Source organism: Homo sapiens, chromosome 16, assembly GCF_000001405.40.
Source record: "Homo sapiens chromosome 16, GRCh38.p14 Primary Assembly".
Taxonomy (NCBI): Eukaryota; Metazoa; Chordata; class Mammalia; order Primates; family Hominidae; genus Homo; species Homo sapiens.
The window spans coordinates 71,940,451-71,955,862 of record NC_000016.10 but is presented as its reverse complement, the minus strand read 5'-3'; the positions used below and the strand labels follow the sequence as shown (position 1 = coordinate 71,955,862).

The 15,412-nt window shown below is 43.3% G+C and overlaps 1 protein-coding gene across 12 annotated transcripts in view; it reads left to right on the top strand.

Moving 5' to 3' along the window:
* Positions 1-15,412, top strand: part of PKD1L3 (polycystin 1 like 3, transient receptor potential channel interacting) — a 70,865-nt gene that overhangs the window by 44,540 nt on the left and 10,913 nt on the right. For 7 of the 12 annotated variants that reach the window (XM_024450254.2, XM_024450257.2, XM_024450256.2 and 4 more), the window contains 8 exons: positions 1,562-1,758; positions 2,770-2,969; positions 4,119-4,299; positions 5,553-5,745; positions 5,846-6,080; positions 8,272-8,371; positions 11,693-11,833; positions 12,839-13,303. In XM_024450254.2, coding sequence (XP_024306022.1) covers positions 1,562-1,758; positions 2,770-2,969; positions 4,119-4,299; positions 5,553-5,745; positions 5,846-6,080; positions 8,272-8,371; positions 11,693-11,833; positions 12,839-13,303 — 1,712 coding nt within the window. Of the gene's footprint in view, positions 1-1,561; positions 1,759-2,769; positions 2,970-4,118; positions 4,300-5,552; positions 5,746-5,845; positions 6,081-8,271; positions 8,372-11,692; positions 11,834-12,838; positions 13,521-15,412 lie in introns of those variants that run through there. The other 5 variants (XM_017023201.2, XM_024450255.2, XM_017023202.2 and 2 more) reach the window with 5 other exon arrangements.

Sequence of the window (15,412 nt, the reverse complement as noted above, 5' to 3'; positions counted from 1 at the left end):
TTCTTCACATGGCAGCAAGGAGAATGAGTGCCCAGTGAAGTGGGGAGCACCTTATAAAACCATCAGGTCTTGTGAGAACTCGCTCACGATCACAAGAACAGGATGGGGGAAACTGACCCCATGATTCAGTTATCTCCACCTGGTTCCTCCCATGACAGAGGAGAGGATTGTGGAAACTACAATTCAAGATGAGATTTGGGTGGGGATACAGCTAAGCCCTATTAGGTGTAGTGGTGTGCACCTGCACACCACTGAGGTGGGAGGATCACTTGAGCCAGGGGGATGGAGGTTGCAATGAGCTGAGATCTCACCACTGCACTCCACTCCAACCTGGGTGACGCAGCAAGACCCTGTCTCAAAAACAAAAAACTAAATGATATTCTGTTATGTGTGTGTGTTTATATACACCCCTTTTTTTGTTTGTTTTTTAGATGGAGTCTCTCTGTAGCCCAGGCTGGAGTGCAGTGGTGCGATCTCAGCTCACTGCAACCTCTGCCTCCTGGGTCCCATTAAATTAATTTCTTTTGGGCTGGATTATTACTTTCCCTCTCCCTCCCACTCCTCTCCCTGCCACTGCACCTCCACACACACACACATACCATCCCTTCCACCCCTTCCACCACAAACACCACCCGTGACTGGTTTTGCTACTGTTTTCATTCCAACCCTTCACATCTCCAGTCTAGAACTGGGCCTTATTATATGGGACCTTGGAGCTCCTATTTTTCAATGAAATTAATGGAACTAGGAGTATTGCAGATCTTGTCATGAGCCTTGGATCTCTTGACTTAGTTCCTGGTCATGAAGCTGTCCTTTTTTTCTCACCTCCTTACTATAAATGTGTAGCCCTACAGAGGTTTTTTTGTTCTCAAGTATCCTTTCATGAGCTCCAGGCTCAACACTGGCTTCTAGCAATGAAGTTGGCTTTGTCCCTCCCTTTTCTGCACCCAGTGAATCATTTTTAGTTTCAGTTACTGTACAAAAGTCAAACTCCCACTTTTGTACTACCTTCCTCCAGGTCTGGAGCTCAGTAATCCTGTGGCTTCTACCTCACTCTGACCACCTTGTTTTCTCATTCTGCTTCTCTTCCTCAGAAAAGGTTTATTTTGTGTTTAAGCCCAGCAAAGTCTTTTTGGTTCTTTCTTTTTATATATTATTTATAGTTCCTCCATATTTGGAGTAGAGAAAGTGCTCAGAGTATGAATTTACCAAACTATTTTGAGCAGAAGTTTAATGTAAACTTTTGAAGAGTAAAAAATTCATCAAAACTCTTATAAAGCTAAAACAACCATTTTTAATTTTAAACTCGCATAGCATATAAATTATCCTCAACAACCTTTTATCCTAAAACAACAAAAGAATCTTACATGGACACATTCGGGTGATGGTAAAAGAATTTAAAATAAAAAAAGAATTAAAATATCTGAAAGCTTATTCACAGAGGTGTTGAATAGAGGCTTGGGAGTTGCTATGTCGCTTGTTGCTGGGCAAATCACATCTTAAACTGGTGCACTTTCAGAATAAAATCTCATGTATTTCCTCTTCTGATTTCTCTTTTCAGACATCTGTTTTCCTCCATGATTGTGGAAAAGTTCACCCAGGATTATCTGTGGCTTTCAATTGCAACTCGGCATCCCTGGAACCAGTTTACAAGGGTCCAACGGCTGTCTTGCTGCATGACACTGCTACTCTGCAACATGGTCATCAATGTTATGTTCTGGAAGATAAACAGCACCACTGCCAAGAGAGATGAGCAAAGTATGGATGAGCCCTGATGTGTGTTGTTTGTAGTAAGCAATCCTTTTTTTTTTTTGAGACAGGGTCTTGCTCTGTTACCCAGGCTGGTCTAGAACTCCTGGCCTCAAGTGATCCTCCTGCCTCAGCCTCCTGAAGTGCTAGGATTACAGGCACGAGTCACCATGCCCAGCCTACTATGCAATACTTTAACTAAACTCCACTACCCTTACTTTCAGGATTAGAAAGAAACAGAATCATGTGGTGTGATATGGTTTGGCTCTGTGTCCCCACCCAAATCTCACGTCCAACTGTAATCCCCCTGTGTTGGGGCGGGGGGAGGACTTGCTGGGAGGTGACTGGATCATGGGGGCAGTTTCTCCCATGCTTTTCCCATGATAGTGAGTTCTCATGAGATCTGATGGTTGAATTGCTTAAACCCAGGAGGCGGAGGTTGCAGTGAGCCGAGATTGCACCACTGCACTCCAGCCTGGGTGACAGCAAAACCCCGTCTCGGGGATTAAAAAAAAGTGTGTGGCAGTTCCCCTGTCACTCTTCTGCCACCATGTAAGATGCTTTGCTTTGTAAGGCATGTAAAGTGTTAATGCCAGGTAAGGTGCTTTGTAGTGCTTTGTAATGCTTTGTAATGCCATGTAAGGTTTCTTGCTTCCTCTTCACCTCCTGCCATGACAGTGAGTTTCCTGAGGCCTCCCCAGCCATGAAGAACTTTTCTTTATAAATTACCCAGTCTCAGATAGTTCTTTATAGCAGTGTGAAAACAGACTAATACATTGTGCCTTCATTTTTCTTCCACTGCCCTAACGTTAGAATACTCTAACAAATTTTCTCAGTGTTCTCATTCATTAACAAATGAAGCAGTATTAGGAACACAACATGGTCTTTACTGCCAGGATAATTTTATCTCTAGATAAACGTAGTTAACTTCCTCAGTAAATAGTTAAACCTAGGAGAGGAATGACTTTGCGATTATTTTAATTGTTGAAGATGAAAGTTGATGTCATGCTTTTCTTTCAGTGCGTCCATTTGCTGTGGCCTGGTCTGAACTGCTGGTCAGCATCCATACTGCTGTCATCCTCTTCCCAATCAATCTTGTCATAGGGCGGCTCTTCCCGTTGATTGAGCCACAGGAGACTCTGCCCCTCTTTCCTCCCATCCAGGCCTCCTGCCTCTCAGATGCTTCTGTTGAGCCTCTCTCTGCCACAATGGTAGTTGAGGTAAGATTGGTATCAAATTTTATTTTATCTTATTTTATTGCCTGCTTGTTTGTTTTGACATAGGGTCTGGCTCTGTTGCACAGACTGGAGTGTAGTGGTGCAACCTCGGCTCACTGTGGCAGCCTCAAACTCCCGGCTCAAGTGGTCCTCCCACCTCAGCCTCCCAAGTAGCTGGGACTACAGGCATGTGACACCATGTCTGGCTAATTTTTGTATTTTTTTGTAGAGACAGGGTTTCACCATGTTACCCAGGCTGGTCTCAAACCCTTGGGCTCAAGCCATCCTCCCACCTTGGCCTCCCAAAGTGCTGGGATTTCAGGCGTAAGCCACCGTGCCCAGCCAGTATCAAATTTTACAGATAAATTACGTGCTCCCAGCTGGGCACGGTGGCTCACGCCTGTAATCTCAGCACTTTGGGAGGCCGAGGCAGGCGGATCACGAGGTCAGGAGATCGAGACCATCCTGGCTAACATGGTGAAACCCCGTCTCTACTAAAAAGACAAAAAAATAATAATTAGCCAGGCGTGATGGCATGCATCTGTAGTCCCAGCTACTCAGGAAGCTGAGCCAGGAGAATCACTTGAACCCAGGAGGCGGAGGTTGCAGTGAGCCAAGATTGCGCCCCTGCACTCCAGCCTGGCAACAGAGACAGAGCAAGACTCCGTCTCAAAAAAAAAAAAAAAAAAAAAAAAAAAAAATGACATGCTCCCTTTCCCCACGCAGTGGAAGAGAGCAGTGGGAAGAATCTCATGGGAGGCTGTCAGGGTCCTGTTACCTGTAATATATTTTTCCCAATTCCTGTGCCCTGAGCCGTGATCAACCACATGCTTAGCTTTTACTCTTGATGATTAAGTATTCTGAGAACTAAATGGGAGTGCATGGTACCACTCTGGCCTTGCTTTAGTCTTTGATGTTTGATCAAATTGTCTCTTTTTTCATTCTGTATTGTCTCATAAAACTGGTATTGCAGCTACCATGAGCTGTGAGGTGACTGCTTTCTGAAAAATTAGAGGAACATGAAAAATTGAGGTTCTTTGTGCTAAGCATATCCCCTTCTGACGAAAGGGAACGGCCTTACCACCTGTAATTGGTACAAATCCTGGGTTAATGAAAAACAGGCTGATTTTTCTCATCTGGTCCTACATTCAGGAATTAAAGGAAACTGTGAGATTCCTGCTCAGGAGAAATACATACCTACTCTCCAAGTGTGAGCAGCCGCCATGGAGTTCTTGGGACATTACTAAGCTGGTGAAACTTTTATCCAGCCTCGTATCATCTCACTTGGAGGGTCAAGGCTGTCATCAGCAGGGAGAGCGCCACTGGGCACGTGGTAAACTTCAGTAGATTTCAGTAACGAATCTTCCATCTGCCTCCCACTCCCTTGCATATGTCTTACTTTCTTACTCATTCATAACCGACAGGCCTGATACAACCTTCTGGTTGTTTTAATTTCCTTAAGCTTCTAGTATAGAGTTGATAGCTTTGTTCTCCTTGATGACTTGTAGACAATCTTTCTCTATCTGGTGAAACAAAGTACAGGATTAAGAAAAAAACACAAGCCAGATGTGGGTCACGCCTGTAATCCCGGCACTTTGAGAGGCCGAGGTGGGCAGATTACCTGAGGTCAGGAGATCAGGGCCAGCCTAGCCAACATGGCGAAACCCTGTCTCTACTAAAAATACAAAAATTAGCCAGGTGTAGTGGCGGGCGCCTGTAATCCCAGCTACGGGGGAGGCTGAGGCAGGAGAATTGCTTGAACTCAGGAGGCAGAGGTTGCAGTGAGCTGAGATCGCGCCACTACACTCCAGCTTGGGCAACATAGGCTCTGTCTTGAAAAAAGAAAAAAACACAGGTCGGGCAGGGTGGCTCACGCCTGTAATCCCAGCATTTTGGGAGGCCAAGGCATGCAGATCACCTGAGGTCAGAAGTTCAAAACCAGCCTGGCCAATGTGACAAAACCCTGTCTCTACTAAAAATACAAAAAAAAAAAAAAATTAGCTGGTCATGGTGGCAGATGCCTGTAATCTTAGCTACTAGAGAGGCTGAGGCAGGAGGATCACTTGAACCCGGGAGGCAGAGGTTTCAGTGAGCCAAGATCGTGCCACTACACTCAGCCTGGACGACAGACCAAGACTCCATCTCAAAAAAAAAAAAAAGAGAGAAATACAAAAAAAAGTTTTCTGTATTATACCCACATATCCTTTCTGCTTTGTCAAAGGCTGTTGAAACTTGTCATCCTTTTTCTTTTATGAGATGATGAGATTATGGAATTTATGGATTCTCAAATACTGTTTGAGTCTCCTGGGCACTTACTAGTATAGGTCACATGTACTGCCATTCTGGTGAAGAACTCAATAAGGTTTTAAAAGTCTTTAGATCAAAGCTTAGAATTTTACAATTGTTAAAAATTCACCAGCATCCTTAGAGAAGATGGTAGTACTGCAAATGTGGGGTACGGTCCAATCTCTGCTAGTAGTGGGAAAATATAGCCTCATCATCCATCAATGAATTGTTAATCTCTACCACTAATTGCTTCTTATTGAAATCCACTTGTGAAAGTGTCAACTTGAAATATATTTTCAGTTGTTCCTGAAAACCACCATCATTTCTGCTGTTACCTGCATAGAGTTCTGCAGAGGCTGAAATCTCACTTAGGCACGCTGGGTCTCACCCAGGGTCACCAGTCCTGTGACTTCCTAGATGCAGCCAGCCAACTTCAAAAACTCCAGGAACTCTTGGAAACACATATTCTTCCCACGGAGCAAGAGCCATCCAGGTAATGCACCACACCAAGCCTTCTTTATCCCCTGTAATCTTCCTCATCCTCTATCTCAGCCGATGCATACAAGATTATTCCCTCAACTTTTGTGCTTCAGGGAAGTCACCAGTTTTGCCATCCTGAGCTCAGAAGAAGGAAAAAAGCCCATCTCAAATGGCCTGTCCAAATGGTTGACTTCAGTCTGCTGGCTCCTCTTAGGTTTCACTAGCCTGGCTTCAGCCTTTTTTACAGCACTTTATAGCTTGGAATTGAGCAAAGACCAAGCCACCAGCTGGATGATTTCAATTATTTTATCAGTGCTTCAGAACATCTTCATCAGCCAGCCAGTAAAGGTATGTGAGGGATGGGAAGAACCATTGGAGTTGCAGAAGTTAGGGGAACTGAGGTCCCTGGGTGTCAATCCAAGGTGCCTAGTGGTTTTGACAATGTAACATAAACAACAAAAAACAAATAGGCAAACCAGGCTGGGTGTAGTGGCTCACACATGTAATCCCAGCAATTTGGGAGGCCAAGGCAGGCAGATTGCTTGAGTCCAGGTGTTCGAGACCAGCCTGGGCAACATGATGAAACTCCATGTCTACAAAAATTAGAAAAAATTAGCCAGGCATGGTGGTGTGCTCCTATAGTTCCAGCTACTTAGGAGTCTAAGGTGGGAGGATTGCTTGGCCCAGGAGGTCGAGGCTGCAGTAAGCCGTGATTGCGCCACTGTACTCCAGCCTAGGTGACAGAGTGAGACCCTGTCTCAAAACTAAAAAAAAAAAAAAAAAAGCAAACTGACATTTAACTGACATTTGTTAGGGATAAGTGTAATTCATGACAGAAAAAACTAAGAAGTATGGCAGAAAAGGATTGAGGAGTGAAGAGGACAGTAACAAATCAACAACCCAAAGCACTTTGAAAAAAATAAACAACAAAAAACTTAAAATGTTTTTAATTAAGAAAAATGTCAAACCCACACAAAAGTGTAGAGACTAGTACAATGCATTCTAAAGTCGTACCACCCAGCTTCAACAATAACCAACTCATGGCCAATTTGTTTCATCTATTATTTGGGGGGAACAATATCAGACTTCATATCATTTTATCCATTTCATGTACTTCAGACTTTATATTTCTAAAAGATACAGACTGTTCTGTATCTTTTAGATATGGAAAATAAATATAAATACAAAGGGACAGCCTGAGGGAATTTTGGGGGTGATGAAACTACTTGGTATCTTGACTGTAGTGGTGGATATACAACTCTAAGTATTAAACAACACTCATGGAATTACACACCAAAAAGTGACTTTTTTTTTTTTTTTTTTTTTTACTATATGTAAGTTAAGATATAAATTTTTTAAAGCAAAACCTGTAATTGCAGTGGCCAAAACACATGTAAGAAATTCAGTTTCACTAGTCCAATAAAATGATAATATTGCATTTTTGTTTTAATAATGGCAAAGAAAAATAATAATACACAGTAATGCCAAGGAAATGAACAGCCAGTGCTCGTTAAGGAAAATCTGGCAATATGTAGTGACAACCTGCAACTTCTGCACCTTTTGCTAGAGAGGTTTCACATCTAAGGATCCATCTCAAGAAAATCCATAGTGGCTGGGCGCAGTGGCTCATGCCTGTAATCCTAGCACTTTGGGAGGCCAAGGTGGGCAGATCACTTGAGGTTGGGAGTTCAAGACCAACCTGGTCAACACAGTGAAACCCTGTCTCTATTAAGAATACAAAAATCCCAGGCCAGCTGTGGGGGCTCACGCCTGTAAACCCAGCACTTTGGGAGGCCGAGGCAGGCGGATTACCTGAGGTCAGGAGTTTGAGACCAGCCTGGCCAACATGGCGAAACCGTGTCTCTACTAAAAATATAAAAATTAGCCAGGTATAGTGGTGAGTGCCTGTAATCCCAGCTACTCAGGAGGCTGAGGCAGGGAGAATCACTTGAACCCGGGAGGCAGAGGTTGCACTGAGCCAAGATCGTGCCGTTGTACTCCAGCCTGGGCAACAGAACAAGACTCTGTCTCAAAAAAAATAATAATAAAATAAACTGGGTGTGGTATGCACCTGTAGTCCCAGCTACTCGGGAGGCTGAAGGAAGAGAATCGCTTGAACCCAGGAAGCGGAGGTTGCAGTGAGCCGAGATTGCGCCACTGCATTCCAGCCTGGGTGACAGAGCGAGACTCCGTCTCAAAAAAAAAAAAAAGAGTCTGGATCTTTATCAGAGGTTTTCCAAAGATACTGAGAGATGTTATTGAATAGACAACACAAATCGTTTGACAGTGTAAGCTCCCCCAGCCAACCAGATTAAGAACTATAAGCAAAAAATATGAATATTAGCATTATTTAGAGTCTGATGGTCCTTCTCCTGGTACCCATCATTGTGCAAAAATTAATGTGAAATTAGTTTTTCATTAAAATGAAGAGCCAAATAATTGAAGTTTTTCATGAGTGCCCACCTCTTCCTTTACATACGGTATTATCTTCCTGGGTCTGTAATGTCTGCTCACGATGTTCTGTGATTCTCCTGCCCAGGTGGTCTTCTTCACATTCTTATACTCACTGATGATGAGCAGGATGCCACGGCTTAACAAAGAGAATGAACAACAAACAAAGAGGATCTTGGCACTCTTGGGTAACTCAAGTAGTTCTAACAACTACCTAATTTTGCAAAAAGCAAATTAGATCTGGCCACCTTGCTGACTCGATAAATTAACCCATTCAAAGGACTTGTCTCTAACCAACTGGTTATTTCTCCTTTTCTGCCCAAGACTAATGCCCTTCCAGATGAGGATCTTCACCTCAGTCATCACATCCTCTCTCCCAGTGCTTCATCTCTCCCCTGCATTTTATTTAATTTTATTTTTTTGAGACGGAGTTTCACTCTTGTTGTCAAGGCTGGAGTGCAATGATGTGTTCTCAGCTCACTACAACCTCCACCTCCTGGGTTCAAGCGATTCTCCTGTCTCAGCCTCCGAGTAGCTGGGATTACAGGCCTCTGCCACCATGCCTGGCTAATTTTTTTGTAGTATTAGTAGAGACAGGGTTTTGCCATGTTGGCCAGGCTGGTCTTGAACTCCTGACCTCAGGTGATCCACTCTCCTCGGCCTCCCAAGTGCTGGGATTACAGGCGTGAGCCACCGCCCCCGGACTCCCCTACATTTTAGATCTTTTTCATCTCTCTCTCCCTCTCTCTCTCCCTTTCTCTCTCTCTCTCTCCCCCTCCCTCTCTCCCTCTCTCTCTCCCTCTCTCTCTCCCTCTCTCTCTCCCTCTCTCCTTCTCTCCCTCATCCCCTTCTCCCTCCTCCTCCCCCTCTCTCATGAGCCCCAGGTGCTGTTCTCCACTGCTCCCTATCTGGAGCTAGATGCCTCCAAGTATGTCAAATTAAACTGAATTGTTTGCCTGCCCCACAAATCCACTTCTTTACTATATTTTCTCATTTCAGTCAAGAGCATCAGCATTCTCTGAAAAAGTCGGAGTACATAATCCTAAATTCCTCTGTTAGTTTCCACATTTAGTCACCATGCTGGAGAGTGCCTACCCTCTAACTGGCTAAGGCTAACTGGCCTACCCTCTAACTGACTAGGGCTAACTTATCACCTGGATGAACCTCACAAACACAATCTTGGGCAAAACAAGAGGTTGCAGAAAAATTGGCACAATATCTTAATCATGTAAAAACGATGCATGTCTTGACAAGAGGTTATATATGTATCTCCTCTATGCATTTATAGATAAAGTATAAAGAAATGCATGGGAATGATAAACTCCAGAATTCAGGAAAGGACTACCTGTGAGGGAAAGAAGGAATGCCATCACAGAGGGGTACACAGCACACTTTATGTTGGCAGTCACTTATTCTTAAGTGGTGATCTACTGCTAAGCAGTAGGCACTCCATTCCTTGTGAGATGAAAAAACTTAATCTGACTTTAAACTGCCTTCCATTTGTGACCAGCCTGGCCAACATGGTGAAACCCTGTCTCTACTAAAAATACAAAATTAGCTGGGTGTGGTGGTGCATGCCTGTAATCCCAGCTACGTGGGAGGCTGAGGCAGGAGAATCGCTTGAACCTGGGAGGCGGAGGTTGCAGTGAGCCAAGATCGTGCCATCGTACTCCAGCCTGGGTGACAAGAGCGGAACTTCGTCTCAAAAATAATAATAAATTGCCTTCCTTGCACTTATTTTGTTTCTCTGTGCATTCTGAACTGTTGGTTTCTCTGCCTAAAAGAGACTTTTTTCCCCTTATCATCACCCTTGTTCATCTGGAGAGCTCTGATTCATCCTTCAAAACAAATGTCAAATGTCACTTCCTCTGTGGCGCCTTCTCTGACTTTCTTGGAGAGATTTATTTGCTCACTCTTCACTGATCCCATGGTGCTTGGAACACACATGCTGGCAAGTTTCATGCCCTCCTCTAGTTATTTTTATTTTTATTTATTTATTTATGAGATGGAGTCTTGCTCTGTCGCCCAGGTTGGAGTGCAGTGGCACAATCTCGGCTCACTGCAACCTCTGCCTCCCAGATTCAAGCAGTTCTCCTGTGTCAGCCTCCCGAGTAGCTGTGATTACAGGTGCACTCCACCACGCCTGGATAACTTTTTATTTTTAGTAGAGACAAGTTTTTCCCATATTGGCCAGGCTGGTCTTGAACTCCTCAGCTCAGGTGATCAGTCCTCCTTGGCCTCCCAATACATATATAAATAAATAAATAAATAAATAAATAAATATATATATATATATGTGTGTGTGCGTGTGTGTATATAAATACATATATAAATATATGTGTGTGTGTGTGTATATATGTGTGTGTGTGTGTGTATATATATATATATATATATATATATATATATATATATAGTTAAGAAATTCAGAATCTTAGGCCTCACTCCAGAATCCATATTTTAATAAAATTCCCAGATGATTCCTATGCACATTAAAATCTGAGAATACCACTATAGAACAGTGCTCCCAAAGTGTGATCCACTGACTAGAACAGTTTGTTTCTAGTCTAAGTACAGGAATCAGGAATGAGCATTTAAAAACTTTAACAATTTGGCAGATTAACTTTATATGTACTAAATCTAATTATCAAAAACAGGGCTTGTATTTTGCATGCTTCTGCTTTATTTTTTTCTTTTTTTAATATATGTTTTAATTTTTTTTTAAGAGACAGGGTCTCGGGTTGATCGCCTGAGGTAGGAGTTCGAGATCAGCCTGGGCAACATGGCAAAACCCTGTCTCTACTGAAAATACAAAAATTAGCCAGGTGTGGTGGCATGTGCCTGTAATCCCAGCTACTCAGGAGGTTGAGGCAAGAGAATCGCTTGAATCTGGGAGGTGGAGACTGCAGTGAGCCAAGATCATGCATTGCACTCCAGCCTCGACAACGAAGTGAGACTCCGTCTCAAAAAAAAAAAACAAACAAAAAACAGATATGGTCTTGCTATGTTGCCCAGGCTGGTCTCAAACTCCTGAGCTCAAACTATCTGCTAGTCTCAGTACAACATCAAACTCCTGGGCTTAATCAGTCCTCTCACCTCAGTCTCCCTAGTAGCCGGGACCACAGGCATGAGCCACTATGCCTGGCTAATTTTTTATTTTTTTGTAGAGACAACGTCTCACTATGTTGACCAGGCTGGTCAACTCCTGGCCTCAAGTGATCCTGCTGCCTTGGCCTCCCAAAGTGCTAGAATTGGAATTACAGGCATGAGCCGCTGTGTTCAGCCTAGTAACTCATTTTTACTGTATTGTACAAAAGTATCAGTCCCCAATTGATTGGAATTTTTTAAAAAACAGGTCCTTTATAATAGAGAGTTTAAGAAGCACTGCATAGGTAGTTTTATTCCTTGTTTAACATTTAAAAGGAGGTGCTCACAGTAGATGCTCAATGAATGGTGAGTGACTGCTTAATGAAATATAACATTTCTTTGGTCTATATTTGAATTTTTGACAGCAAAATGTTCTTCGTCAGTACCAGGTTCAAGAGATAAGAACAACCCCGTCTATGTAGCCCCAGCTATAAATAGTCCAACTAAGCACCCAGAAAGAACCTTGAAAAAGAAGAAACTCTTCAAGCTGACTGGAGATATTTTGGGTATGGAGAGGAAATGGCAACATACTGATAACACAGCACCTTTTCCAGAAGGGAAAGGAAGAGAGAGAATAAAATGGAAAATAAAGAAGGGTTAAAAAGCTGTCTTTTAAAATCTTCACCCTGTGAGATTTGGGATTCCAGTAAAGCAGGTGGGATGGTAACTGGACAGATCCCTGACCTTGGAGTCTAGAGGTTTTATTGTGTGCTTGAGTAAGTCACTTTCTCCACCTGCAAAATGTAATAACACTTGATCTATGGAGGGAAAATGAAAATGCTTTGGCAGATGGCTCTTCTGTAGGTGCCAGTTGACTGGCTTCAACACATCTAGTTCATTATTGGATTCCCTAGTCCAAATAAGACAAATTCTGCTTTTATCATGACTTCACTTCTTGTAAACACAATCACATGAGAGACAGAGTGCATGCTTAGTCCTTAGAGCTAAACACCATATTTCTTGTGCGGGATTTTATGTTTTTTTTTTTTTTTTTTTTTGAGACGGAGTCTCACTTTGTTGCCCAGGCTGGAGTGCAGTGGTGCAATGTCAGCTCACTGCATCCTGTGCCTCCTGGGTTCTAGCGATTCTCCTACCTCGGCCTCCTGGTTAGCTGGGATTACAGGCACAGACCACCACGCCCAGCTAATTTTTGTATTTCTAGTAGATGGGGGGGTTTTACTATGTTGGTCAGGCTGGTCTCGAACTCCTGACCTCAGGTGATCTGCCCGTCTCAGCTTCCCAAAGTGCTAGGATTACAGGTGTGAGCCACTGTGCCCAGCCACAGCCATTGTATCTTATTTTAAGTAAAATGTATCATTAGTGGCAGAATAATTCTGGGAAGGAAATGTGTATGTATGTATTTATAATTATTAGATTGAACCATATGAAACAGCCAGTTTTTGACTGGTTTTGACCTGCATAAGTCTATAGACTTAGGAAAAATGAAAAAGACATAGAGGATTTCTAAGTTAACCACTCAACTATGACATTTTTTTCCTCTTCTAAACAAGTACAAATCCTCTTCCTTACCCTGTTGATGACTGCAATCTACTCTGCAAAGAACTCCAATAGATTTTACCTCCACCAAGCTATCTGGAAGACATTTTCGCACCAGTTCTCGGAAATCAAACTTCTTCAGGATTTCTACCCCTGGGCCAATCATATCCTTCTTCCTAGCCTGTATGGGGATTACAGAGGTAAGAATGCAGTCCTGGAGCCCAGTCATTGCAAATGTGGGGTACAATTAATTTTCCAAATACCCCGTACCAAGACCTATGAGAAAGTGGACGAAGGTCAGCTGGCGTTTTGTGATAACGGCCATACCTGTGGGCGTCCCAAGAGCCTATTCCCTGGACTTCATCTAAGGAGGTTCAGTTACATCTGTTCACCCAGGCCCATGGTGCTGATTCCCACTGATGAGCTTCACGAAAGGCTGACAAGCAAGAATGAGAATGGATTCAGTTACATCATGAGAGGTAACTGGAGTGACCCCTGGAATTCAACCACACGTAGCAAAGAAGGCTGTTCAATAAGTGCAAAACCAGGAATGTGGTTTCATTGAAGGTAACTTCCTGGAAGAGTACAAGAGAGGTAAATTTGTTGGAGACTTACATCTCCAAAAGTGTTTTTATTCTCCCATCACATTAGATTCTAATTTATCTGTATATAATTTCTTTCTTGCAGGATTTTGGTTCGTTTGTTTGAGACGGAGTCTTGCTCTGTCGCCCAGGCTGGAGTGCAGTGGCACCATCTTGGCTCTCTGTACCCTCTGCCTCCTGGGTTCAAGCAGTTCTCCCTGCCTGAGCCTCCCAAGTAACTGGGATTACAGGTGCCCGCCACCATGCCTGGCTGATTTTTTTATTTTTACAATTTATGTATTTACATATTTTATGGGGTTTCGCCATGTTTGCCAGGCTGGTCTTGAACTCCTGACCTCAAGTGAACTGACCACCTTGGCCTCCGAAAGTGCTGGGATTACAGGTATGAGCCACCGTGCCCAGCCAGAATTTTGAAAAGTGTAGCTCCATTGCTTTCTAGCTTTTCATGTTAGTGTTAAAAAGTATTATGCTGGCATGCTGATTCCCAGTCCCCAACCCCAAAAGTTTTTAGGTTTTTTTCTTTGTCCTCTGAGTTATGAAAGAATGTCATAGAGGTCGGGCACGGTGGCTCATGCCTGTAATCCCAGCACTTTGGGAGGCCGAGGCAGGTGGATCACAAGGTCTAGGAGTTCGAGACCAGCCTGGCCAATATGGTGACACCCCGTCTCTACTAAAAATACAAAAATTACCCAGGCATGGTGGCTCGCGCCTGCAGTCCCAACTATTCGGGAGGCTGAAGCAGAAGAATCGCTTGAACCCAGGAGGTGGAGGTTGCAGTGAGCTGAGACGGTGCCACTGCTCTCCAGCCTGGGTGACAGAGCGAGACTCCATCTCAAAAAAAAAAAAAAAAAAAAAGAATGTCATAGAATGTTCTATCATCTGGAAACGTGACCTTAAGTTCTGAGGAATTTTCTTGCATTTTTTTGGTTAATTTCTTCTCCATTTTTTCTGTTCACTTTTTCTGATTTTCTAGCATTTTGACATTGTAACTCCTGGAGTTCTGATTTTCTTATATTTTTGCTTCTGTTTTCCATCTTTTTCATCTAATATCTGCAGTATTTAATTTTTATCTTCTAAACTATTTTTTCTTTCTATAATATTTAATTTCCAAATTGTTTTTTTCATAGTCTCTTATTGTTCTTTTACGGATGCAATATCCTCTTAACTCTGAGGATATTATGGTGGTTTTTTTCCTTCTGATCCTTTACTGTCTCTAGTTTTTTGATTTGTTGTTTGTTTTGATCTACAGTTTTCAGCATTAGAGGTTCAAGTGCCTGGCTGTCCTTTTAAAGAAAGGCAGGCTGGGTGCGGTGTCTCAAGCCTATAATCCCAGCACTTTGGGAGGCCAAGGCAGGAAGATCACTTGAGCCCAGGAGTTCGAGACCAGCCTGGGCAACATGGTGTGAAACCTCGTCTCTACCAAAAATACAAAAATTAGCCTGGCATGGTGGTGTGCACATGTTGTCTCAGCTACTTGGGAGGCTGAGGTGGCAGAATGGTTTGATCCTGGGAATCAAAGGTTGTAGTGAGCTGAGATCATACCAGTGCACTCCAGCCTGGGTGAGAGCCAGACCCTGTATCAAGAAAAAAAAAAGGCAATAAAAAGCAAATAAATGCTAATTATAAGCTCTGTGCCTGGCTGGGCATGGTAGCTCACACCTGTAATCCCAGCACTTTGGGAGGCCGAGGCAGGCAGATGACCTGAAGTCAGGAGTTTGAGACTAGCCTGGCTAACTTGGCAAAACCCCATATCTACTAAAAATACAAAAATTAGCCAGGCATGGTGGCACATGCCTGTAATCCCAGCTACTCAGGAGGCTGAGACAGGAGAATTGCTTGAACCCAGGAGGCGGAGGTTGCAGTGAGCTGAGATCGTGCCACTGCACTCCAGCCTGGGGGACAGAGTGAGACTCCATCTCAAAAAAATAAAAAAAAAATAAAAAACAAAGCTCTGTGCCCATGCATAGAGCTTATCAACTGGGTATC